Source organism: Homo sapiens, chromosome 21 (assembly GCF_000001405.40).
Source record: "Homo sapiens chromosome 21, GRCh38.p14 Primary Assembly".
Classification (NCBI taxonomy): domain Eukaryota; kingdom Metazoa; phylum Chordata; class Mammalia; order Primates; family Hominidae; genus Homo; species Homo sapiens.
The window spans coordinates 42,471,440-42,496,312 of record NC_000021.9 but is presented as its reverse complement, the minus strand read 5'-3'; the positions used below and the strand labels follow the sequence as shown (position 1 = coordinate 42,496,312).

The window sequence follows — 24,873 nt, the reverse complement described above, 5'->3', positions numbered from 1 at the left end:
ATCTTCCGGGCTGGGAGGGAGGCGGGACCGGCCGCGTCTCCATGGCGACGCGGGACGCGGCGGTGGAGGCGGTTGCTACCCACCTGCTAGAGGCGCTGCGGCTGTGATCCAGGCTGGGGCGAGACCATGTCGGACCTGGGCTCGGAGGAGTTGGAGGAGGAGGGAGAGAATGATATTGGGGTGAGAGCTCCTGGTGAGAAAGGGCTTCCCAGGGTGCGCAGCGGCGGGGGAACCTCGAGGTTGGGTTTGGAGAGTGAGGAGGCGCAGAAACCAGAGGTCTGAGCCACAGCTCCCCAGGATCCCCGGCAGGGACGAAGGCCACGCCAGACACACCTGCGTGCGTCCTGGAAGTTGATGGTGAAAAGTGAAACGCTGTGACGTCTGGTTACCACATGCCGCCTCGTTCTTCCCCCACCCCCATCCTGCCTCCCATTAAAGGCAAAGATTTCCCAGCGGAAGGCTTTGGAAGTTTCCTCCTCCCTGTGTTAATTCCCATCGAGGCAGTTTTCTCGGATGAGCAGATCATCCCACGCTGCCATACTGCCCTTGAATAAGTCATTTCTGTAGCTGAGATTTGCTCCCCCGGCATTTAGATGCATGGAGGATAGTTGCTTCCTGGCAGCCTCCAAGAAATGCTGAGGAGGCCCTGGGCTCAGGAGAGGGTTCCTGAAGATATTACCTTATAGGCGTATCCTCACATGTGCTTTCTTCAGTCCCCATCTGAACTGACCCAGGTCTTTGGAGTTATTTCCTGAGTTAGGCAGCAGAGAGGAGAAAGAGGGCACATCCAGCCTGTGAGCTGGGTTCTGTGTGGGAATATTTCTATCACCCAGAGAGTAGTTCCTCCCTACTCCAGAGAGTGACCTCTCCATGGCTGACAGATAGGGAACCTCAGCCACTATGGTCTGCATGCACAGTACAGAGTTGAGGTACTTTCAGAATTAACTGAAAAATCTAGCGACTCTGCAGTGGTGCTGTCAGTGCCTGCCCAGACCTTTTTGCTAGCTCTGGGCACTCATCTCCCAGCTTCCGCCTGATTTGCTACTCAAGCTATCACCTCTGTGCGCTGGAACTACCTGCCCAGTATGGAGAGCCAGAAGTGCCTGAAATTCACATCCGGCCAGACAGCCAGTAGCTAGTGCAAGAAGCAGGACAAAGTCTGCAGTGCGATTGATGCCCCCAGAGTCCCTGTTGGATTAGGCCAAGTCTGGGACTTCACCTGCAAAGGCATCCTTCCTTAGCTGCCTGCCCTTTCATGTCTACTTCCCTGCCCTCTTTACTACTTTCTCCCAGGAGAGCACTTAAAAAAATCAGGCCAGGCGCGGTGGCTCACACCTGTAATCCCAGCACTTTGGGAGGCCGAGGTGGGCAGATTGCCTGAGCTCAGGAGTTTGAGACCAGCCTGGGCAACACGGTGAAACCCTGTCTCTACTAAAATACAAAAAATTAGCCGGGCATGGTGGCGGGCACCTGTAATCCCAGCTACTCGGGAGGCTGAGGCAGGAGAATGGCTTGAACCCGGGAGGCAGAGGTTGCAGTGAGCCGAGATCACGCCACTGCACTCCAGCCTGGGCAACAGAGCGACTCTGTCTCAAAAAAAAAAAAAAATCACTTGTTCAGGGTCTGTTTCTAGGTGAACCCAACCTGCAACACTTGACCAGCAAGATTTCTAGTTTGTCTCCTCAAATGGCCCCACTGATTTGTAACTTTTTAGTGCCTATAATTTTTAGGTTCAGATCACATTTGGGGTCATTTTAAAGGATTTCTGTCTTATTCAGCCACCCCAGCGGCTCAGTGTTGGGTGTATTGGGAAGCCTCTTGGATAGAAGGAGGGGACTTTTGTACATTTTGATGTAAACTAACCCTGAAACAAATCTGTGAGGTCGCAGATTTTTACCTTATATTCTAGGCAGGAATTAGTGGTCCAAACAGTGCTAGAAAAGGGCAAGAATTGCACAGACGTTTATTTCTGAAGTCCTCAATGTAGTGTGTCAGTACTTGTGTTATAATAAGTCTATATACATCCAATTCAATTTCTTAATTTTAATTTTTAATAAATTTTATTATGTATATTTAAGAAATACAGTGTGATGTTATGAGATACCCATGTTAAATCATTACTGGATGCTTTCAGCATTTTATTATTTACTATATTCACTCTATACCCATGTATTAGGTGCTAAGGAACATTTATTTTCTGAAGGATAGGAAAATTGCAAGCTTTGATCACATTTTTTATTTATTTACTTTTAAGATAGACACATAATTGAGCAGGCATGGTGGCTCATACCTGTAATTCCAGCACTTTGGGAGGCCAAGGATCGCTTGAGTCCAGGACTTTGAGACCAGCCAGGGCAATATAGTGAGACCTTGTCTCTACAAAAAAATTTTGAAATTAGCTGGGAATGGTGGCGCATGCCTATAGTCTCAGCTACTCAGGAGTCTGAGGTGGAAGGATCACTGGAGCCTGGGAGGCGGAGGTTGCAGTGAGCTGAGATTGTGCCACTGCACTCTAGCCTTGGCAACAGAGTGAGGCCCTGTCTCAAAAACAAAAACAAACCACAGATAGATACATAATTATTGCAGCATTGGGTCATGAGTGTTCGAACCTTAAGTCTCTTGCTAGGGGTCTTAAAAATAAGATAAACTTAATCAGCAAGGGAGCCCTGTGTACTCCTCAGTGCCCTCCAACCTGTCCCTTCCATCGGAAATTCCTTGCAGGGCAAAGGTCTCTTCAGGCCACACCCCGCCCCAGGGATCATTTGAGGGAAGAGTTGCTTCTCTCTGGGCATTTGCCTTTGAAATCCTGGATTACTGAAGGAAGCAAACGGGGAGGTATTTGTGTGGACTTGAACTGTTCTACCCGCATGTACTATTTCAAGCATGTTCCTACTAAGAACACAGCTTAGAGTATCTAGCATTTTTCACAAATTGGTTAACCTTGCTTACAGGGTAAAGGATTATCACAATGAATTGCAAGCTCTGTGTTGGAGGGAGGGAACGAGGCTTCCGCCCTGGACATGTGCTGGGGTGTGGCCTTGGTCTAGTGCCTCATCTAGCCCAGGCGTTGTTACCTACCTCAACTTTAAGGTGGGAAAGGTGGGACAATTGAGTATAGTGCCGGGGGTTTAGCATAGTGGGATGACTCAAGGGTATGATATTTACAAAATGCTTAGCACCTGGTTAGCGCTTAATGAATGGTAGCTGTAATTGTGTCAATTTTCATTACCCAGGAATATGAGGGGGGTCGGAATGAGGCAGGCGAAAGGCACGGACGTGGGAGGGCACGGCTACCCAACGGGGACACCTACGAAGGGAGCTACGAATTCGGTAAAAGACATGGCCAGGTCAGAACCGTTGACTTGACTGGATGGTTTTCTCTATTTAATACTCTGTTAGCAAATGCTACATTCAGCAATGATATGAATGATATAATCAATGTGTTTCAGGGGATCTACAAATTTAAAAATGGTGCTCGATATATCGGAGAATATGTTAGAAATAAAAAGCACGGTCAAGGCACTTTTATATATCCAGATGGATCCAGATATGAAGGTAAAATGTTATCACTAAGCAGATTTTCGTGTTACAGAAGTTTTTCTTTCTTTATGACTGAACTTGTCTGTGAATACTGACATGTATGAGAAAGCTTAAAGTTCTCCAGTTACTCATTCAACGAACACAGATCGTGTTACTATATTCACAGTGTTGATGCAGAAATAGGAAAGCCTTGTAATTAATTAACTCACTAATGAATCTGTAGTGGGAAATCTGTCCCTGTGGCCAGCATGTCCATGTCCTGGGAGCAGACAAAAGGGAGGCTCCTGAGTGGACGCAGGCCTCGCAGCTGGTGGACCCACGGCTTCAGCTGCTCTGCGGCATTCATCTTCCTGAACCTGTCTTTGCATTTTCCATTTCTGACCAACCCCGCCATCTGACGGATGTGTTATTTCTTCAGATCGAGTGTTTCCTTACATCAGGGCTTCCTGTCTGGGAGTCTTCCTGCCTTGTTAAACTGACTTTTCCTACCTGTGCCATAAGTCCTTACAGGCCAATGTTATGTTTGAGGAGGATTCTTTTTCCTTTATTTCCAAGAACCTCCCTGCCGCCCCTTGTGCCGTTGTCACCTGGTGTGACCACATTAGTGATATCCCAAACCTGGGCAGGGGGACCGGCAGGGAGCGTGTTGTGAGTCTTCAGAAAGTGTATATAAAATTCTGTGTTCTGGGCTTTTTGTTTTTTCCCTAGGAAGAAAGAAATTGTCTAGTTTTCTTCAGATTTCCAAAAAGATCTGTGACCCTAACCTTGGACTCTGGTGACAATAGGTGTGAGCTTGCATAGGTGACTTCACATCTCCTTGCCTCAGTTTCTCATCTGTAGCATGAAGATTCAATGGATAAACACAGGGAGACACCTGCAACCTTGCCTGATCCATAGTGAGCACTCAGTAACTGGGGCTAGGACTGTGATGTACCACTTGTGACAGCATCACTTCTTAGTGAGGAGGACATATTCTTACAAAGTGCGAGCTATAGTTGCTTGCTTTGCTCCTAGATAAAATAAGAACCAGTAGGTGGTTCTTATTTTAATAGATGTCAGTGATGATTCTGTCCAATTCTGAGACCAAGATGGAGGGTTTTAATACCATCCCTGTTAGATAGAAATTGTTTTGTTTTGTTTCATAAATCCCAGAAGGCTTGCTCTATAAGAAGCACCATCTGCTTTTTAAATCAACTTTAAACAATTTAATTTGGGGCTTAATTTAATTCTTTCCAAATCCTTATGCACCTAATCTCATTCTTGTCACTTTTGATTTTAGTGTAGATGTTGATACAATTTGAACAACACACACACACACGAAGATATTTAGGATAAGGGATTTAAGGAATTTTGAATATGAAGGTTAAAAATGGGTAACTGTTTCTCTGACACCAAATGCATGGATTTTCCATGCTATGTACTTCTCCAGTCTTCTGTGAACACCAACTGAGTTTCCAATGATGCAACTCCATTCTGACACCACCCAGAGTTAGCACAGACCCCACAGGTTAAGGGCTCAGTTTCCAAGACTGCCCCACTTCAGATGTCAACCTCAAGTTGTGGATCCGGAGGGTACCCACAGTTCTACCTGACTCGGCTACAAATTGGGGGTTCCTACAACACCCTACTCAGGTTTGATAATGTGCCATAGCGGCTCATAGGACTCAGGAAAGCACTTTACTCATGTTTACTGTAAAGGATATTATAAAGAATATGGATGAACAGCCAGATTCAGAGGTACAGAGGGCAAGGCCTGGAAGGTTCCCAAGCACAGGAGCTTCTGTCCTTGTGGAGGTGGAGTGCACCACCCTCCTGGCACATGATATGTTTATCACCCCAGAAGCTCAACAAATCTTGCTCAAGAGTTTTTACAGAGCTTAATCTCTGGCCCCTTCCTTCTTCTTTACCAAAAGTTGGTGGGTGGGGCTGGAGGTTCTATCCTTCTTATCACTTGGTCTTTCTGGTGTTCAGTCCCATCTTGAGGCCATCCTGGGCCTCATTTGCATAAGTTCAGGTGTGGTCAAAAGAGTCTCATTTTGAATAACAAAAACATTTCTATCAGTCAGGAAATGTCAAGGGTTTTAGGAGCTCTGTGCTGGGAACCATGAATAAAGACCAATATTTCTTATTATGCCACACTAACATATAAAGCTCTTCTGGTAACAGTTGGGATTTTTGATTCTCCAGATGGCTTTGTATCTTAAAGGGTGCAAGATTTAGCCACTACCCAGAGATTTCTTCTCTGACAAAAGCTTAAATAAGTGTCTTACTTCATGAAGGCAGCAATGGAAACTGAGGTCAGAAGTTATAATATTAATTATAACATAGTAAGCCAATACTCTTCCAATCACAAAATCTCAGTTAATGTATGGCTGAGTTATTCATAACAGTGTATCTTGGCTGGCTGCCATCACAATGGGCCAGAATGGTTTTGTGCAGGGCAGTGTGTTCAACGTCAGGACCCTGTGGCATAAAGTCCAGTACCCTACCTGTCTCCCAGATGGTCACACAAGTCCAATTAGGGAGTCCAGGAGCCAGCAGAGGCTATAGTGCTGCAGGAGAGGAGTGGGGAGACGGTCCTGGGTGGCGGGTGACTTGGATACAGGCAGGAAGGCCGAGGTTTTTAGGGGTAGTGGGGGATGAGATGGAGGGGAGGGTGGGTGCCAGATGTGGGGGAGGCCTAGACCCCATGTACTGATGCTGAGGGTTGGGGGTGTAGGGCCAACTGAGGACTCTGAGGTTAAGGGGGAGAAAGAGCATCCCTATTCCCTGCTGGCCTTGTTGCCTGTCAAACAGAACTCATCAAAACAAAGAAGTTTAAGAATGACATTGTGGAGAAAGAAGAATGACATGATAACTTGAACCTGGGTTTTTTGGAAGCCCCCGAATGGCAGGAGCTGGAAAAAATGAGCACTTGACTGTTGGGATGCTTGTGGAGAAGAGAGCATGGTGTTAGACAGACTCCAATTTTCATTTCAGTCTTGCTACCCACCAGCTGTGGGACCTTGGGGAATGCATGCAGTCTCTCTGCTTTTCAGGTTCTGCATCTGTAAAACCATATTTCAGCGATTACACATACCAAATGCTGTGGCAAGTGCACGGAACCCTGCCCAGGGTCTGACACCGAGTGTTTCCCCATAAGTGTGGGCTCCTTCTCTCCTGTGTTTGGCTGACCCAGCAGTTTAGGGAGCCAACTTGGCAAGACCATGGGCCAGCATGGCAAACCAGTGACCAACCAGCATTTGAGGGGGGAGGAGCATCTTGGAGAGCTTCTCATTTTAAATTGTCTTCAATCCCAAGTGCCAGACAAACTGCTCTACCCAAGGAGCACCTGCTCCACACCAGCCAACTGACCCACAACCAGCCAATCAAACAGCCAACCAATCAACCAACCAGCCAACTGACTAGCCAACCAAGCAACCAATCAACCAACCAATTAACCAACCAACTGTCTAACCAACCAACCAATTAGCCAACCAGCCAACCAACCAACCAACCAACCAACCAGCCAACCAGCCAACCAAACAGCTAACCAATCAACAAACCAGTCAACTGACTAGCCAACCAACCAAACAACCAACGAACCAGCCAACCAAACAGCCAACCAATCAACCAACCAGCCAACTGACTAGCCAACCACCCAGCCAACCAGTTAACCAACCAACCAGCCAGCCAACCAACCAACCAACCAATCGGTTAGCCAACTAACCAACCAGCCAACCAGCCAACCAACCAACCAACCAGTTAACCAACAAATCAACCAACCAACCAACCAACCAACCAACTGGGAGTTACTCCTGAGAAGAAATATAGTTGGAAAAAACCTCAGTTGACAAGTTCAAGAATGATCAGAAAGTATAGGATTGGGGTAGAAAGACTTTAAAAAAAAAATTAAGTGCAAATTTAAAGCCACAATAATAAAGTTTACAAATGTCACTCACCTCAAAAAAGGAAACTTGACTTATAGCTGTTAGAGATGTGCCTCAGCAGGTGACTTTTCTCTGAATTACCTTCTCTATTTGTGCAGGGTCCCTGTGGTGGCATTACAAAATGCTGGGCCGAGCCTCTTAACAGGTTTTTTAAGTAGATTGGGACTTTAAAAAATTTTGCTCACCGTCCTCTTGGTGCAAAATTTAGTGTCTTTTGCAACTTAACTGTTCTCTTTTATTTTTGAAATTTTTCTGCAAAATATGTAATATATTTTTCTCACCATGACACCCTGGAGATCCTCTGACATGGCCAAGAGAGGAGGGATGTAATAATTTTGTCATGAAGTTTTGTTGGGAAGAAACCAAATGATGTACCTGTTTCAGCTGAGGTCTCTATGCCCCAGGGCTGTGCTGGAACCCCCTCATAGTAGCTCACAAAAACCCATTCTGTGCATCTCTTCCCAGCTCCATGTGTAGCTTGAAATTGGCCGCGGTGTGAGTATTTACACCACAGAACCTGGCAAATGTTACAAATCCAGGCACATCACTGCCCCTTAAGACCCAGACAAATCCCTCTAGGTATTTGCACATCCTCATGGTTAATTTAGGTTCAGGGACCTGAAGTATTTTTTACTGAATTATCTCAATTTGGGGATCTTCATCTCTCTTGTTCACATTGTTCCTGTCACACATCACATCATGGGACCTAGTCCTCTTCCTTAATTGTTAGCAGTTGCCACCTTCCCTCTCTCCATGAATTTTTGGTAAGCCTGCTCTTTTCTGAATGACTTACCCACTTTTTGAAATTGTGCCATGCAGCTTTTCGTGCTGCCTTCCCTGTCCTCAGCTGCTGCTCAGGTGCCAACCTTCCATCCTCAGGCTGGTGCTCGCGCCCTGGGGACATGCACTGTCCTTTGTACAGCTCTTCGTTCATCTCACAAAGTGCCCAGGACATTGTAGGTGCTGAGTAAATAATGGGATGATTGAGGAAATAAATATGTAGAAGTTCCTTCTGCAGATAAATTTTGGGGTTATTCACATAAACAAATATTACTTGAATAATTAGCATTTTCTTAGCCTATTGGGTATTCTTTATCTTCATGTGGAAGTGGGTCCAGTTTTTGTGTAAGCCAGAAGCTTATGTAAGTTTTGAGAACCTCTTTAAAAAAAAGAAAATATAAAGTTGGTATAAAAGTGAATTTTCATTTGCAATGATAAATCAAAATAAGTTAAAAATTTAAAAATACCACAAACATCACAGAATCTAAGTAGCCTGAGTTTTAATGTCTGACATACTTCTAGAATAGCTTTTCTCTACCTTTGTTAGCTAATACTCTTTGAATGCTTCTCCATATGGCAACCATTTTGTAATGTTTTCTATAGAGAGAATAGAAATATAATTCCTTCTTTTCTCTTTGATCAACAAATTGATCAACATTTGCTTTTTATTATTCATAGTCTCAAAACATATCATTTAGCTTAATGACTTGGTGTAATATGCACGTTTTTAAGAGCAGTCACCTTTGGGAGACCTCTATTAAGTTTCTTTCCTAAGTGAGCTGTAAGATTTGAGGACGTTTTGAGTTTTCTAGTGCAGGGATTCATACTGTGGTTGACAAAAGTAGTTTGCAGTTGTCCACATCATGGAGTGGTATTATGAATTTTATGATATCCTTGCCAATTTCAGTACTGCCTACCAAGCCTATAAGGACTTAGCAGAAGCCGTATGGAGGTGAGGAGGTGAGGGAAGAGTTCAAACAGAGGCATGGCACCAGCGGATGGAGCTGGTGTGCAGCTGGGGTTAGAGTGGCATGTTGGAGTCAGATGATTGGGTGGGAGATAGACTGAAATGCTGCCAGGTGGCTGAGGATAGATGGTCAAGCCCTGGAGTTGTTGCTGGATCTCTAAACATTTGCAAGGTAAATGAAGTGTGGTGTTAGGATCACTGGCAATGGGTCAGACAACCTTGGTTTGTCTCCCTCCTCGTTGCATCTTCGTGGTGCCTCTGACTAACCTGTGAAATGTGCTTGTCAGTACATGCAGGTGGCTGTGGCCCACATCCATACACCTCACTCTGTACCCCGTGAACTCCTGACTCAGCCCTCTCTTAGCCCACTGTCCACCGTGGCTCAGCACCTATGCCATCTGGCACAAAAGGAAGGGGTGGAGGGATGTCAGAGTGGAAACAGATAGCAGCCTTGGTCGGTGCTGTTAAAAATCTCTCTTCTGCAGGATTTCCTGAGCAGAAGGGGCCTGTGTGTGCATGGGCTTCATTTGCTTCACAACACATCTGCCTTTGCCATGGTTAACAATTTGAAGACATGGTACAGGGCATCGATCCCTTCTTCTCACCTGGGCTTGCCTTTGTGTTGTTCCTTTCAGGAGAGTGGGCAAATGACCTGCGGCACGGCCATGGCGTATACTACTACATCAATAATGACACCTACACTGGAGAGTGGTTTGCTCATCAAAGGTTCGGTTTCTATCTTGGGTCTTAACGGGATTTGCTTATGTAATGAGAACATGATGTCTGCAGATTGTTTACACTTACTGAGGAACAGAATCATAACAAAAGCCCAGTTACCAACTCTGCCAGGCAGGTCCAATCTTTCTATGGCTTTGAGGCAAGGATGCCTTTCTGTGCAAGTGTAGACTCAAGTATCTGACATCTGCACCTCAGTTGGGGCAGAGCACGTGAGTCTTTCACCCAAGAGTCCCAGGGAGTGGAGGGCACAGAAGAGCCACTGGGGGACCTGAGCCACAGCTCCCACTAGCTCTGCCTCTTCCCTGGGGAAAGCAGCTGACACACAGGAGGCTTGCCTCTGTCCAGCTGGCCTGTCCTCTGTGCCTCTGGCAATGTCCTGTGCTTGGGGCACACTGAGCAAGGGGCACCTTCTGACTGGACACAGATATAGAAGCTACATCGCTTGTGAGCCTGCAACAGCCTGGGCCTCCCTCAATGTCAATGTCTGTGTTTTAAACCTGGGAGATTTTTCACTGTGCTGGAACGAAATACCATGTTCCCCTTGTCTTAACCAGGCATGGGCAAGGCACCTATTTATACGCGGAGACGGGCAGTAAGTATGTTGGCACCTGGGTGAACGGACAGCAGGAGGGCACGGCCGAGCTCATTCACCTGAACCACAGGTACCAGGGCAAGTTCTTGAACAAAAATGTAAGTCCATGGGAAGTGACATTTGCCAATGAAGTACAAAATAACCCCCTCTGGCAGCCTGTGCAAATGTGTGACCAGAGAATACCAAAAACTCAGAGAAAACTGAGTCCGGCCTATTCAAATGTGGAGAACAGGACAGCTGTGCCATTCTCTGAGCCTCTGGTACCCACAGAGCACAGAATTGGGGGAAGGGAGGGATTGGCCCGTTTCTCTGGATCTCAGTACAAATTCCCACTGTCTTTCAGCGGGGACCTGTTGCATTGTTATATAACACGAGAGGGCATCTGAACCTCTTGTGTGTATTCCTTCTCATGGGTAAATCAGATACCAAATATCTATTTCCTGCAATTGAGCATAGAGGTGTTTGGGTTTTGTTTCCCTGGAAGGGGAGGTGCGACATCCCTGGGGAGGAAGACCCCCAGCTCCCTCCTCATGCTACAGGCCAGCCTGCGTGCTCCTAGTTGTGGTGGGAATTAAGGCTGCCAAGGGCCTGGCCCTGCGTCTGGAGGCTTGCCAGCTTCTAGCACCCATGGTGGGCCGTTTCTGTTTGGAAGACTCGGTGGTTCCTCTTGCCCTTATTGTACAGAGAAACCTTGAATAATTCAGAAGCTAATACTCAGGCCATCGTGGTAGCTTTGATCAGGGGTTGAGCAGAAACTTTCCCTGAAGAGAGAATTTGCGGAGCAAATTGATGGTGTTAGAAGTTGACAGAGGGAATGTTTAGCTGATACAACGAAGTCTCTTCAGACTCTCTTAGAACCCAGTTTTCATTTACGTATAATTCATGCCCTAACCACAGATTTTACTTTTAGTCTTCATCAAAACAGCACATTCCCCTCAAACCCATACATTGTTTATATAATTCCCAGCAAACTTTCTGTGGGTCTTTTTGGAGGAGATGGGAAGGTGGTTGCAGAGGAAGAGAATTTGATGAAAATGAATCTGGAAGAATCAATCAGCTTGTCCAGCCTAAACCAGTCTGAAAAATCGGGGTAAAAATGGAGGCTTTGTTTTGCTAGTTAGTAAAAAACTTTAAATTATACAAATAATACACAAGTACATTCCAATTGTAAAGCATTTAAACACTAGGATCCTGCCCCACCACCCTGGGCCCAATCCTTCCACACTATTTCTGTGTGTCATGTAAGCACATTCTAATACAGTCATCTGACACAGAATTATTGTTTGGGGGTTTTAATTACATAATTAGGATCATACTGTGTCAGGATACAAAAATATACATAAAGATACATATTTGTCATTTTGCACATTTGGGACTATTGTGTAGGTTAGATAATGGAATTGTGAAACCTTTGAGGATTGGCATTTAGAATCACAATCGGTAGTGCCCATTTTCCTAAAAAGTGGTGTCAGTTTATACTCTTGCCAATAGAATATGAGTCTGTTTATCATATATTCTCATCGATGTTGGATATTCTCAGTCTTTAATGTTGTTTTTGTTCTTTTCCAATCTTATGGGTAAAAAATGTCATCTCATTGTTTTAATGTGTACTTCCCTGATTACTAGTGAGGTCAAACATCTTGTCACATGTTTATTGCTGGTTTGTGTTTCTTCCTCAGAAAATTCCCTGTACATGTCCTTGTGGACAAGTTATCAATACCACAAAACTTCAATAATTAAAACAGTGTGATACCAGGATACACACACACACACACACCAATGAAGCAAATTAGGAAGTCCAGAGACAGTTCCCAGTATATAAAATAATTTCACACACAATAAGCGTGTCAAATTAACAAAGGGATGATGGGAGGAGTCAAGACATAGTGCTAGGAACACTTGACAATTATTTGGGAGGAAAATAATAGTTTTGCCTTCACACAGATGAAGATACTTTCTAGAAGAAGTAAAGATTTAAATGTACCCTAGGAAATATAGAAAAAAAATGTAGATGAATATTAACCTTGAAATGAGGAAAGAGAACTTTCTAAACAGAAATAGAAAGGAAAAACCAATAGGTTTAGCTTTATAAAAATAACTTCTTATAGATTAGAAAATGCTGTAAAGAAAATCTAAGAGATGACTGTTAAATGGGGAGAGAATATTTGCAACATTTAATATATAAAGTGTTTTATCAATCAATGTGATTTAAATGGCTAAAAATCTTGAAAAAAATGCAGGCTTACTAACAACTGAAATGAAGTGAATTAAAATTGTGAGACCCTGTTGTTTTATATAAAAAAACATGTAAAAATAGACCATTTTTACACTCCTAAAATCAAGAGTTTGAGGATCTGGGACTCTTAAGTGCAGTTATGGGAATGAAACGATTAGAGCCTCATCTAATCAAAGCACATGTATGCTTTTGTCCAGAAATTCTGAGAATTTAAGGATGGTATCAAAAGCGTACATAAAGTTTTAACTCAGAGTACGTTTGCTGGAGCGTTCTTTGTAAAAAAAAAAAAAAAATCAGTATCCCAAATACCAACAATAGTAACTGAGTAAAATAGGTTGCAATCCATAGATGAAATAAAGTACCAGGTGGCAACTGTTATTAGGAAAGAATATTTGTAAATACGGGAAGTAGTTCATGCCATATTTCTCAGTAAAAATAGAGTATGAGTTAGTATGTATAATTATGATCAGATTTTTATTTAACCATGTATACTAGAAGCAAAGTTACAAAGAATGCATCAAAATATTAGTAGTAGTTCCATCGGTAGCTAGTTTGCCTATGGATACTGATTCACTGAGGTTTTCTGAAAATGAATACATCACTTTTATAAAAAAGTAAAATGTGGTTAAAGTTTCCAAAAGTAAACAAAACAGGGCATATAAGTTCCAATCCCATCAGCCACGAGTTCACAAAAGCATTCCTTAATCCATGTTACACTTTACCCAATTTGGTGATTTGAGGTGGGTATTGTGGTGGTGACATTTGTATTTTGTATTTTCTGCTGGGTGTTGACACTTAAGAATGGTTTCTCTTTGCTCGTAGCCTGTTGGCCCTGGAAAGTATGTATTTGATGTTGGGTGTGAACAACATGGTGAATATCGTTTAACAGATATGGTAAGTTGCGGAGCATGTAGGGTTTTGTTACATTAACAGGGAAGTAGCTGCTCAAAAATATTGATCCTGCAAGGTTGGAGGTGATTCGCCTAAAAGTTATGCCAACTCTTAGGCACTTTCACATTTTCATTTTCCTTATCTGCATGTGTTAGTACAGAACTAAATTGCCAGAAGCAAACAATATCATTTCCCATTTATTGCAGAACTCTAGACTTTGTTGATAGATACCGTTTTTGTTGATAGAAACTAATCCTGGCAGGGCACAATGGCTCACGCCTGTAATCCCAGCACTTTGGGAGGCCGAAGCGGTGGATTGCTTTAGGTCAGGAGTTTGAGACCAGACTGGCCAACGTGATGAATCCCTGTCTCCGCTAAAAATACAAAAATTAGCTGGGCATGGTGGCGCATGCCTGTAATCCCAGCTACTCAGGAGGCTGAGGCAGGAGAATCGCTTAAACCTGGGCGGCGGAGTTTGCAGTGAGCCAAGATCACGCCACTGCACTCCAGCCTGGGCGACAGAGTGAGACTCTGTCTCAAAAACAAACAAACAAACAACCAATAAATAAAAAACTAATCCTGAGTGGGAGGGTTCTAGACAGTGTTAGGTCCTGCAAGTGAAAACTGAATCTGTAACTGGTGTTGCCACAGTTTGTCCAGTGACTGTTAGCTTGTCCGTTGTGCAGCATGCTCCTCTGAACGTGCCGTTGGTAAGTCTTTCTCTTGTTTTTTCCTTTCCAATATCTAACATTAATATTAACACTACATTGACATTCCCTGGTTAATAGTAAAGCTAGTCAGCTAATATTGCCGTTATAAGGCATCGAGATGCGTATGTGTGTTGAGGTGGGAATATATGTGTTCCTATTCCTCTCATTATTAATGTCTGATCAATCCCTCTAGATAATTAGCAATTCAGCAACATTTCCTGACCCTGGTACTGGTTTTGATCCTTTTGACTTATTTGTTTAGATGAGGTCATTCTCACTGTAAGAAGTTTTGAGTTTTAAGGAGGAGTGTGGAATCACGCTTTTGTTTGTTTTTTGGTCTCTGAAGTTGTTGAGGTGTCCCCTCCTAGTGAGTTAAGAATATATTATCGTACACAAACTCTCCCATGTCTGCATACTTTCTTTCTGAAGAAAGCCGGGGAACGGCTTGTTTGGGTCTACCATCACATCAATGCCCTTTCAACCTGGGTTAGTCCTTTTTGTGCTGCTATAAAGGAATTCCTGAAGCTGGGTAGATTATAAAGAAGAGAGGTTTATTTGGTTCACAGTTCTGCAGGCTGTACAAGAAGCATGGCACCCGCAACTGCCTGGCCTCTGGTGAGGTCTCAGGAAGCTTCCACTCATGATGGAAGGTGAAGGGGAGCTGGTACCATAGCTCAAAAGAGGAGGAAAAGAGGGGAGGAGGTGCCAGGTATATATATATATATTTTTAACAACCAGTTCTTGTGTGAACTAATAGAGCAAGAACTCACTCATCACCACAGGGAAGGCACCAAACCATTCATGAGGGATCTGCCCCCGTGACCCAAACACCTCCCACCAGGCCCCACCTCCAACCCCGGGGGTCACATTTCAACATGCGATTTGAAGGGGACAAACACCCAAACTATGTCACAACCTGAGCCAAGTCACCTCGTTTTGTTTTTTTGTTGCTGTGTCCCTCGTCAAGCCCTTGGCATCACCCAGAGGCCCTGCTTTAAACCGACTCCTCGTCACCTTGGGCTCAGGTGTGAGGCTGTGGAAAGCTATCCTTGGTCACAGGAGGTAGAAGCCACACTGTGGGGAGCTTGGAAGGCTGCGGGAGATCCTGTGCATGAGGGCCTGTCCCGCACCTGCTCTGTGCCGCCCACTGCTGTCTCTACCTAATGCTCCATCCTTTCACCCCAAGGGCCCTGGCCTTGAATCCTAAGTCTAAACTCATCACTAATTTTTCAATTCAATGCTCTTCAATGCTCTCCAGACAGGTTTTTTTTTTTTTTTTTTTTTTTTTTGAGATGGAGTTTCGCTCTTGTTGCCCAGGCTGGAGTGCAATGGCGTGATCTCGGCTCAACGCAAACTCCACCTCCCGGGTTCAAGCGATTCTCCTGTCTCAGCCTCCCGAGTAGCTGGGATTACAGGCATGTGCCACCACGCCCAGCTAATTTTGTATTTTTAGTAGAGACGGGGTTTCTCCATATTGGTCAGGCTGGTCTCAAACTTTCGACCTCAGATGATCCACTGCCTCAGCCTCCCAAAGTGGTGGGACTATAGGCGTAAGCCACTGCGCCCAGCCCTCCAGACAGTTTTTTAACTTTTCTCATTTTTCTTCCTAGAGTTTGTTAGATTCTAAAACCAAAGGGAGTCTTTGAATCTTTATCCCTTAACCTCCCATGATCAAGTGACTGTCCGTGCTCCGTTGCTGCTTCCCAAGTGGCCACAGTCTGGACATCCCCGGGGCTCTCGGCCCTGACCTCAGCCACCCTCTTTTCCTGATTCCCGCTCCTGTGATATTCTACTTTCTGCACATCACTCTGGCCATGGTTATTTAGTTTCCCCAAACAGCCCATGGTTGCTCATGGTCCACCTTCTTGGCTGACCAGAATCCTGTGTGGCCTCACAGTGATCTGTCTTCCTTGCCTCTTCTCCTGCTTTGCTCCAGCTAAAAGGAACCACTGGCTAGGGGCAGGTCCCTAGAAAACCAGAAAATGAAATGGCCAAAATGCTTGATTTTGTTGCTAAGTAAGAGGCCCTACCTCCTCTGAGCACGAATTCTTCATGGACCGCAGGGTGCTCTAGTCTGGGTGGAAGGCAGCTTCCTGTAAGTCACCTGCATCTAACAAAACGTAGAGGAATTTGACATACTGTCCTCCCCCGAGGTTCCACTTCATTTATGTGTGTGTGTGTGTGTGTGTGTGTGTGTGTGTGTAACCTCCTACACACATAGTCAGAAGCCTAAGAAAGACAGTCGGCTTTAGGATTTGATTGTGACAGGGAGGTATTTAGTATTTTGCTGGGATTTCCATGGGGTTGGACACCTCTCATCTGTTCCCTGAAGGAACCTATTGGTTAAATTGATATCTTGTCAGCACTGGTAATAACTGTTTAGGGTTACTGGTGATTGAGCAAGTTTTTACATTTGTGTAGTGATAAAAATAAAGCCCATCTTATTAAGTGCTTTGCAGCTTTAGACTCTACTGGAAAAAGTTCCTAGAAGTCAGTATTTCAGGATGATGAGAAGAAGGTAGAAGGAGCATCAGTAACATCTAAGAGAGAATTACTGATATAAGCCCCAAGTCCTGTTGCTGTTTAGGAAAAACCACCCATGAAATAATGCAGCAACAACCTGAGGGCTTTGTGGAAGGCCTCCCACTGTGCTGTGGGGATGGATTAGGATGGTGGTGGAACAGAAGGGCCTCCGTGTTCTCTCTCCCTAGTAAGGGGAATGTATCCCTTCTAGAGTAGGGCTTGCCAAGCTGCAGCCCACGGCTCACTCCCTGTTTCTTTTTAAATTATGGTTTTATATGTACGTTTATAGAGTTTGAAATTTGCCATTTTAAAGCATGCTTTCAGTGGCATTCAGTACGTTCAGTGTTGTGCAGCTGTGAGAATGATGCATTTCTGGAGCTTGTCCGTTATCCCAGACAGAAACTCTGTACCTATTAAGCAACAACTCCCCATTCGACCTCCCCCAGCCCCTGATAGCTTTTAATCTACTTTCTTTCTCTATGAATTTGCCTATTCTAGATGTCGCATATAGATGAATTCATTCTGTATTTGTCCTTTTGTGTCTGGCTTCTTTCATTTAGCACGACGTTTTCAAGGTTCTTGCTTATCCATTTGTCTGTTGATGGACAATTGAGTTGCTTCCACATTTTAGCTATTATGAATAATGCTGCAGTGAACATTGGTGTGCAAGCATCTGGTCGAATCTCTGTTTTCAGTTCCTTTGGTTATATACCGAGGAGTGGAATTGCTGGGTCATATGGTGATGCTGTTTCGCTTTTTGAAGAACTGTCAAATGTTTTCTACAGTAGCTGCAGCATTTTACGTTCCCACCAGCAATGTGAAAGGGTTCCACCTCTTGGTTTTATACATAAAGTGGCGTGCAGTTCCCAAACTAGTGCTGTCAGCTTCACCTGGGAATCTGTTAGGAATGCAGCTTATTGGACGCTATCCCAGACCTGCCGAATCTGAAACTCTGGGGGTGGGGCTAGCAATCTGTCTTTTAATGCTTTCTGGGTGATTCTGATCTAAGTCAAGTTTGAGGACCCTGTCCTGCAGCATTGGTGTCACCCTTCATGGGTGGCCATATTCAAACACTCTGAGACCAAAATAGAGAGTAATTGATTTCCCAGTGACTCAGTGGAAGAGGCAGGTGTCTGCCCCTCTCTGTCATCGGTATTATCACCTATGTGGCAGCGAAGTGTTCCATAGTCATAGTGCTGATGCTCAGATCTTTGGAATTTTGTGATAGTCACAAAACTGAGAAGTAGGCAAATATGCTTGGCAAAATTGGCACATGTTGGCTGCTCACCATTGTCGGAATTGTACATTTTTTATTACAAAGTGTTCCATGTTCAGACTTGATGAACTCTCATTCTGCTTTCCTTGAATTTTATTTTTCCCCATAATCCTTGACACTTGAGCTTTTGCGTTTATGCAAATCCATATCATATGGACATCTTAGGAACTTCTTAGGCCTAAGCCTAAAACAAATGGCTGTTTCTTTTATTATTTATATAAAGAATAATATAAATAATTATGTTTCTACTAAGCTCAATAGACATATAATTATATAATACACGATTTTTTATATTAGAGTTGCAAAATGTGGCCGAACAATTGAAAAGACCACTTACTCCTGGTCACTCAGTTCTGGCCACTTAGTCCTGGCCATGTCTTAGCTATTGCAGGCGACTGCGACATGCTCATCTGAAAGCCTTTTGTGGCACCCATTATAAAGCTCGCTGGCCCAGCATTGCTCTGGAGACTTTATTCCTCACCCTGGCTCTTTCAAGATCCATTCTCAACCCTGAGATTATACCATGGATAGTCAGCAACTGGTCTGATTCCTGAGTGACGTCCTAAAAAGGCTGAAACACAAGCCAAAACCTGTCTTTCAAAACTTGTCCTTCCTCCCTCACTTTTAATATTCCAGACCAAGATGACACAAATGTTGGTAAATGTACATTTTTGCACTTAAAATAGGAAAGAGGAGAAGAGGAAGAGGAGGAAGAATTAGTAACTGTTGTTCCAAAATGGAAAGCTACCCAAATCACTGAATTGGCCCTGTGGACACCAACTCTCCCCAAAAAGCCGACCTCTACGGATGGACCTGGCCAAGACGCTCCAGGAGCTGAGAGTGTGGGGCACCCCCGGGCTGTGGGGTGGAGGGGGCAGAGGGTGTGGGGCACCCCCGGGCTGTGGGACAGAGGGTGTGGGGCATCCCCGGGCTGTGGGGTGGAGGGGTCAGAGGGTGTGGGGCATCCCCGGGCTGTGGGGTGGAGGGGGCAGAGGGTGTGGGGCATCCCCGGGCTGTGGAGTGGAGGGGGCAGAGGGTGTGGGGCATCCCCGGGCTGTGGGGTGGAGGGGGCAGAGGGTGTGGGGCACCCCCGGGCTGTGGGACAGAGGGTGTGGGGCATCCCCCGGGCTGTGGGACAGAGGGTGTGGGGCATCCCCAGGCTGTGGGATGGAGGGTGTGGGCGCCTTTGGGCTGTGGGAGTTGTGGACATCCTGTTTTCAGGCCAGGTGTGGTTGGACTCTCTGAAAATCAGATGCTGGGTCAGTTGAGTGTGCGGGATGTTATTAGGGAGAGCCTTTGGGATTGGAGGACACTCCCGGAGAGCGGAGGGGAGAGGAAAGAAACAGAGTTGATTGGACAGAGGCGGAGGTGTGGCCTCCACAACCTTGCTTCATTCCATGGGGAGCACTGTGGCGTCTCGGGGACCCTTATCCCCTCACCTAGGTCAGTGAGTGAATGTGGGTGTGACCCCGGGCTGGCACTGACAGCAGCTGAGGGGACAGCCCTTCCCTGAAGAAGGGTCCGTGTGGCACCTCCATGTCCAACCCAGTGGTCTTTCTGGAAGTCCTTAATGTGCTGGGGAAAGTTGAAGGTGGCTACCCCGGGTGAGATCCCTTCCATGGCAAGCGGAGGAAAGCCAACTCCGATTGGCCTCCGTGAAAGAATACTCATGCTGCTAAGAATTTCTTGGCTCATGTGACTGGGAAGCTCCGGGACAGCCCCCAGAATGGCCGGGCAGCCTCTGCCCTCTGTCCCAGCTCTCCTCTCTGCTGGCTCCCCTGGCTGGCACTCTCAGGAACCCCAGGGGACTTCTCTTTCTCAAGAGTCTCATCAACACCCTCAGGAATGAAAGTTATCAGACTACCTGCTCCCATCCCCAAGCCACTGACTACAGTGGGGACTGGGCTGCTCCCCTGGCCAGGCCTAGGCTGGGCTGGGTGGATGTTGAGATGGGGAACATGAGGTGCTGCCAGTGGGAGGGGGAGGGTGGGGGCACGGCAGCCCAGGGGACAGCTGCCCTGCACAGGTCTGCAGGCTCCATTTTTCCCAGGAACTCAGGCTTCTGACTTGTGTTTTATCTCAGGTGCAGGAGAACCCGGGGAGGAGGCCCAGGCTCTGCTGGAGGGCTTCGAGGGTGAGATGGACATGAGGCCTGGAGATGAAGATGCAGACGTCCTCCGGGAAGAGAGCCGGGAGTATGACCAGGAGGAGTTCCGCTATGACATGGATGAGGGTGAGGTCCCTGCGCAGGGAAGTGGGGCGAGGGCCCGCACTTAGGGGCCACGAACAGTGGGATTCCCCTTCCCTTCACCAAGGCCTGCCTTCAGCTGGGCCCCAGGGACTCGAGGAAGGCTTAGGGGGCCCCCTGTGAGCGCTCACTGGAGCCATCTCAGAACGTTGCTCCCTGGCAGGCCCTCCTGCAAGCCTGGCTGCAGTGGGAGAGGCCTGGGTGTGCAGCGGTGCCCATGCGCGTTGTCACAGGAGGACCGACCCCAGGCTGGAGAGCCCTGTCAGACATGCAGAGCCTGGCTTTCTTCTGTTGCATGATTTTTTTTTTTTTTTTGAGATGGAGTCTTGCTATGTCACCCAGGCTGGAGTACAGTGGTGCGATCTTGGCTCACTGCAACCTCCACCTCACTGGTTCAAGCAATTCCCCTGCCTCAGCATCCCAAGTAGCTGGGATTACAGGTGCATGCCACCATGCCCGGCTAATTTTTTTGTATTTTTAGTAGAGGTGGGTTTCACCGTGTTGGACAGACTGGTCTCAAACTCCTGACCTCACACAGGAGGCCCGCCTCGGCCTCCCAAAGTGCTGGGATTTGCATGATTTTTAGCAGGGCTGACTAACAGGAGTATGGTTTCAGACTAGTGGTGTCGGGAACTAGCTCTTTTTCAATGGGTTTGGATGTAAGATTAATCTAGAAACTTCTGCCTCTGCCAGCTCATAGGGCAGGGATTTGACCTCAGTTCTGACTGACTGAAGCCTCAGGCTCCTGGAATCTTTAAAAATCTTTCCCCAAGTGCTTGTGGGCACTTGCAGAAAGTCTGGAGAGAGGACTCGCTTCCCTTAACGCACTTTTCACATCTGACTGAAAGAGGGTGTCGTGCTTGTGAGGGAAAGGGCCATCTGGGAACAGCCTGGGCACGGCGGCCTCAGGCACGGGGTCTGCAGTCCCATTCCACTTAGTTTGTCTCTGTTGTAAATTAAGAATATACTTCCCATTCCTTTGAAAATAATACCTGAAATAATGAAATCACATAAAGCAGTTTTCTCTTAGATGCTTGAAGCACACATAGACTTTCGTGATCGGTAATTCCCCTGAGCGCTGGCATAGACTTTCGTGATCGGTAATTCCCCTGAGCGCTGTAGCAATGCACCCAGTGACGCAGTGCTGAGGTGGGACGTGGGGTCAGGTGGAAACCTGGCTTTACAAGTGAGCATCGTCTCTGCTTCTCTGACTTGCACAGGGAGGGTGGATAGAGTGAGCCCTGGTAGGTAGGGAGTCCACAGGATTCTGTTAGGACTGAGTGGCTAGAGTATGCACAGTGTTACAGCAGCATCTAGCTGTGCCCACAGATGTCAGTCCTTAGTCACTGTGGAGCACAGCTGGAGGGGGAGACACTGGGTTTGATAGGCAGTGTGGGAGTGAGGGGCTGGGCTCTCGCCCTCTAGCACCTAATGGGAAGCTGGAATAAAGGAATCAGTGAGTTCCCTGCAGTGACAGGGACGTGTTACCATGTACCCAGGAGAGGTGATGACTCACCTGGGGCAGGACCAGGAAACTCCGGGTTAGCTGGGAGGGAGGTGGCAAGGAATGGGTGAAACCAGGAAGGAAATTCCAGGCAGAGAGCAGAGTCTGACAGCAGAAGAGTGTGGGGGTGGGGAGGTGGCCCCTTTCCCTTGGAACCAGATGGCCTTTGAACTTGATCCTGAGCCCAGTAGGCGGGACCTCTGGGAGCTGTGGGGATTGCCTGTATCAGGCTTGCTCTCTGAGCTTCTCTGGGGCAATGAGGATGGGTGCCCTGGAGCCAGGCAAGGCAGGAGGCCCCAGAAACTTGGTGGGGGAGATAACGGAGGGGATGGAGCAGGAGGAATCCTGAAAACCGGACTGGGAGAGATGGGGCCGAGTGGACGATGCCCAGTACCAGCGGGCGTCTGAGACTGTGGGTTCATGCACCAGCCTTGGACAGAGGGAACACCCCCTTAACTCAGTGGTTTTGGGGCTCCAGGGGACATTTGGCAATGTCTGGAGACTTGGGAGGCTGGTGAGGGAGGTGCTGCTGGCATCTTCCTGGGTGGAGGCCGGGGACGGTGCTGAATACCCTGCAGGGCACAGAACAGCCCCCAGCAAAGGGTCACCCAGGCCACAGTGTCAGGAGGGCCCTAAGTGAAAAGGGAGTAATACAAAATAGGCTTAGTCGGCAGAACATTTATCAAAATAATGCAAGTTCAGCATGTATTCATCATGAATCCCACATTACATTGGAGATTTACCCTGCTAATTTCTTCTTTAATATACCCAACAGTGAAAGTTATAGAGTTTAATTAATAATAAAAAATAGCTCTACCTTTCACAAAACATTTAAATATAGCGTCTTATAAGAATGTGGCAAATTTCTGCTTTTTTTTTTTTTTTTTTTAAGATGGAATCTTGCTCTGTTGCTCAGGCTGAAGTGCAATGGCGTGACCTCGGCTCACTGAAACCTCTGCCACGGGGTTCAAGCGATTCTCTTGCCTCAGCCTCCCAAGTAACTGGGTTGACAGGCATGTACCACCATGCCCAGCTAATTTTTGTATTTTTAGTTGAGACGGGGTTTCACCATGTTGGCCGGGCTGGTCTCGAACTCCTGACCTCAAGTGATCCGCCTGCCTTGGCCTCCCAAAGTGCTGGGATTACAGGCATGAGCCACTGCGCCCGGCCTGCTTTTCTTTTAAATTAATAGCCAAGCAATTACATGTTTTAGCCACAAAGCTGGCTGTTTTGGACAGGTGTGCAGGCATAAGAGAATTACTGATGTTACATGGATAGTCTTGTCTTAGCATTTACTTTGAGTACGTATTTTGCTTATTTTATGTCGGGTACCAAAAGAAAAAACTGTTGAAGTGCATATGAGATAAAATTTAACATTCAATTTTTGACTGATGAATGCTTAATAGTTACAATAATTTTTTTCGGCAAAAGATCTGTTAGTGAATAAAGGCTTTAAAAATAGAACAAAGTAAATATGAGATATACTCATGTTTCTCTTTTCTTTTCAGGAAACATTAATTCTGAAGAAGAAGAAACTAGACAGTCAGACCTCCAGGACTAAGATGAAGTGAGCCGAGAGGAGATCGTATCATAAGAATGCTTCTGTCGTTAGCCGGGTGCAGTGCTGTGTGTATCTAGTTCCAGCTACTTGAGAGGCTGAGGCAGGAGGATTGCTTGAGTCCAGAAAGTGGCAGTTGCAGTGAGTGGAGATCGCGCCACTGCTCTCCAGCCTGGGTGGCAGAGCGAGACCCTGTCTCAAAAAATAAACAAAAACAAAATGCTTCTGTCAGTTAACAATCTTTATTAGAGGGTTTTTAGTCTTTCTTTCTCAGCTGTATGTTAAGTTGATTGACAAATGCAAATAAACGTCTTTATTATCCTTTCTTTCTGAAATAGCCTCTGCTTCAAGTTCTGTAAACTGAAGGTTACCACGTGGTTTTGCCATGGTTTTTCAGTGGTGTCTTCTCCTTGGATAGAGAAAACTGTAAATCTGCGGGAGACGGTGAATGGAAGTTTGGCTTCTGGCTGAGCTGGGAGAGTAGTTCTGTACCCAAACCCCTCTCTCAGATTTCCCACAAGGGAGGTAGGAAGCACTTAGAACATGAGGATTGCTGTGTGCAATGCTCCTCGAATGCAGTGTGATGGGTACACGGCCGGCTTGGGTAGGAGACCGCCCGCTGCCCCGCAGGGTTCCCTCCCACTCCTTCGCTTCTCCATGTGGAGCCCAGGCCCACTGTGGGGGCCCTGCAGGTGGCTGGGGAGAAGGGCTGCCCACAGGCCAGGCTTTGGCCTGTTTTGCACACGCTTCCGTTTCTTAGTGTACTGGAGGCTGCCACCTGCACCTCATTCTTATTTCTTGAGGACTGTCTCAGACTCTGCCTCTCCTTTCTCTCCCCAATGCCAGGCCACCCCCTTGTTCCTGGGCAGATAAGCGAGGACCTCCCAGGGGAGCCCGACTCCCCATCGTGCATGGCTCTCATGGCTCTGCTTCATGTATCCTCCCCTCCCCTGGGTTACTCAGAGGGCAAGTGTCTTCAGTTCACCCCAAAATGTCCTTTAGAGTTAGTTTAACAAATGTCAAGGACATTTTCAGTTCATCCCAGACATCTTCAGTTCACCCCGAAACAGTTCACCCCAGACACTATCAGTTCACCCCAAAATGTCCTCTAGAGACATAATCTGGGGGCTATGTCTCTAAACAGGGGGCCCCTGGAGACAAAAGTGGCTCCTTCTTGGATGCTAACCCACCATGTTCACGTCTGATCGGCCCCAGTCCCTTGAATGCCTCCTGGTGTCCGCTTTATCTACTGTCTCTAGTGTAAGAACCTGTCAACCTTGACGTTGCCGCACAAATTAGAGGCCACAGTGCACATGGCATTCTTGCTGTCCTGGAGAGTTGCCTTTGTCTTGCTGGAGCGTGTACGCCCTTTCCCTGCAGT

General features: G+C 46.4%; 1 protein-coding gene across 4 annotated transcripts, besides 4 other annotated features; it reads left to right on the top strand.

Annotated features, from left to right (window-relative positions):
• Window positions 13-132: a silencer, noted in NCBI's record as "silent region_13344". NCBI's record gives its function as "represses an Ori minimal core promoter by ATAC-STARR-seq in GM12878 lymphoblastoid cells {active_cell/tissue: GM12878}" and the evidence as "EXISTENCE:reporter gene assay evidence [ECO:0000049][PMID:35858748]".
• On the top strand, window positions 89-23,827 carry RSPH1 (radial spoke head component 1). 4 transcript variants are annotated; one of them, NM_080860.4, is made up of 9 exons: window positions 89-180; window positions 3,234-3,347; window positions 3,450-3,555; window positions 9,852-9,942; window positions 10,509-10,644; window positions 13,605-13,676; window positions 18,869-19,022; window positions 20,266-20,415; window positions 23,443-23,827. In NM_080860.4, the coding sequence occupies exons 1-9, from the start codon at window positions 127-129 to the stop codon at window positions 23,493-23,495; spliced, it is 930 nt and encodes a 309-aa protein (NP_543136.1). In that variant the 5' UTR covers window positions 89-126; the 3' UTR covers window positions 23,496-23,827. The 4 variants fall into 4 exon arrangements, with proteins under 4 accessions (NP_543136.1, NP_001273435.1, XP_011528088.1 ...); NM_001286506.2 differs by lacking the exon at window positions 3,234-3,347; XM_011529786.2 differs by lacking the exon at window positions 13,605-13,676.
• Window positions 2,754-3,953: an enhancer, noted in NCBI's record as "CDK7 strongly-dependent group 2 enhancer chr21:43912470-43913669 (GRCh37/hg19 assembly coordinates)". NCBI's record gives its function as "activates an origin of replication core promoter dependent on BRD2, BRD4, P300/CBP, MED14 and CDK7 cofactors, with strong dependence on CDK7, by STARR-seq in HCT116 cells {active_cell/tissue: HCT116}" and the evidence as "EXISTENCE:reporter gene assay evidence [ECO:0000049][PMID:35650434]".
• Window positions 17,779-17,848: an enhancer, noted in NCBI's record as "active region_18521". NCBI's record gives its function as "activates an Ori minimal core promoter by ATAC-STARR-seq in GM12878 lymphoblastoid cells {active_cell/tissue: GM12878}" and the evidence as "EXISTENCE:reporter gene assay evidence [ECO:0000049][PMID:35858748]".
• Window positions 19,525-19,604: an enhancer, noted in NCBI's record as "active region_18520". NCBI's record gives its function as "activates an Ori minimal core promoter by ATAC-STARR-seq in GM12878 lymphoblastoid cells {active_cell/tissue: GM12878}" and the evidence as "EXISTENCE:reporter gene assay evidence [ECO:0000049][PMID:35858748]".

Coding starts and splice junctions, on each gene's coding strand:
- RSPH1 (NM_080860.4), top strand. CDS start 127: ATGTCGGACCTGGGCTCGGAGGAGTTGGAGGAGGAGGGAGAGAATGAT. Junction 3,348..3,449: donor TCGGTAAAAGACATGGCCAG/GTCAGAACCGTT, acceptor AATGTGTTTCAG/GGGATCTACAAATTTAAAAA. Junction 10,645..13,604: donor GCAAGTTCTTGAACAAAAAT/GTAAGTCCATGG, acceptor CTTTGCTCGTAG/CCTGTTGGCCCTGGAAAGTA.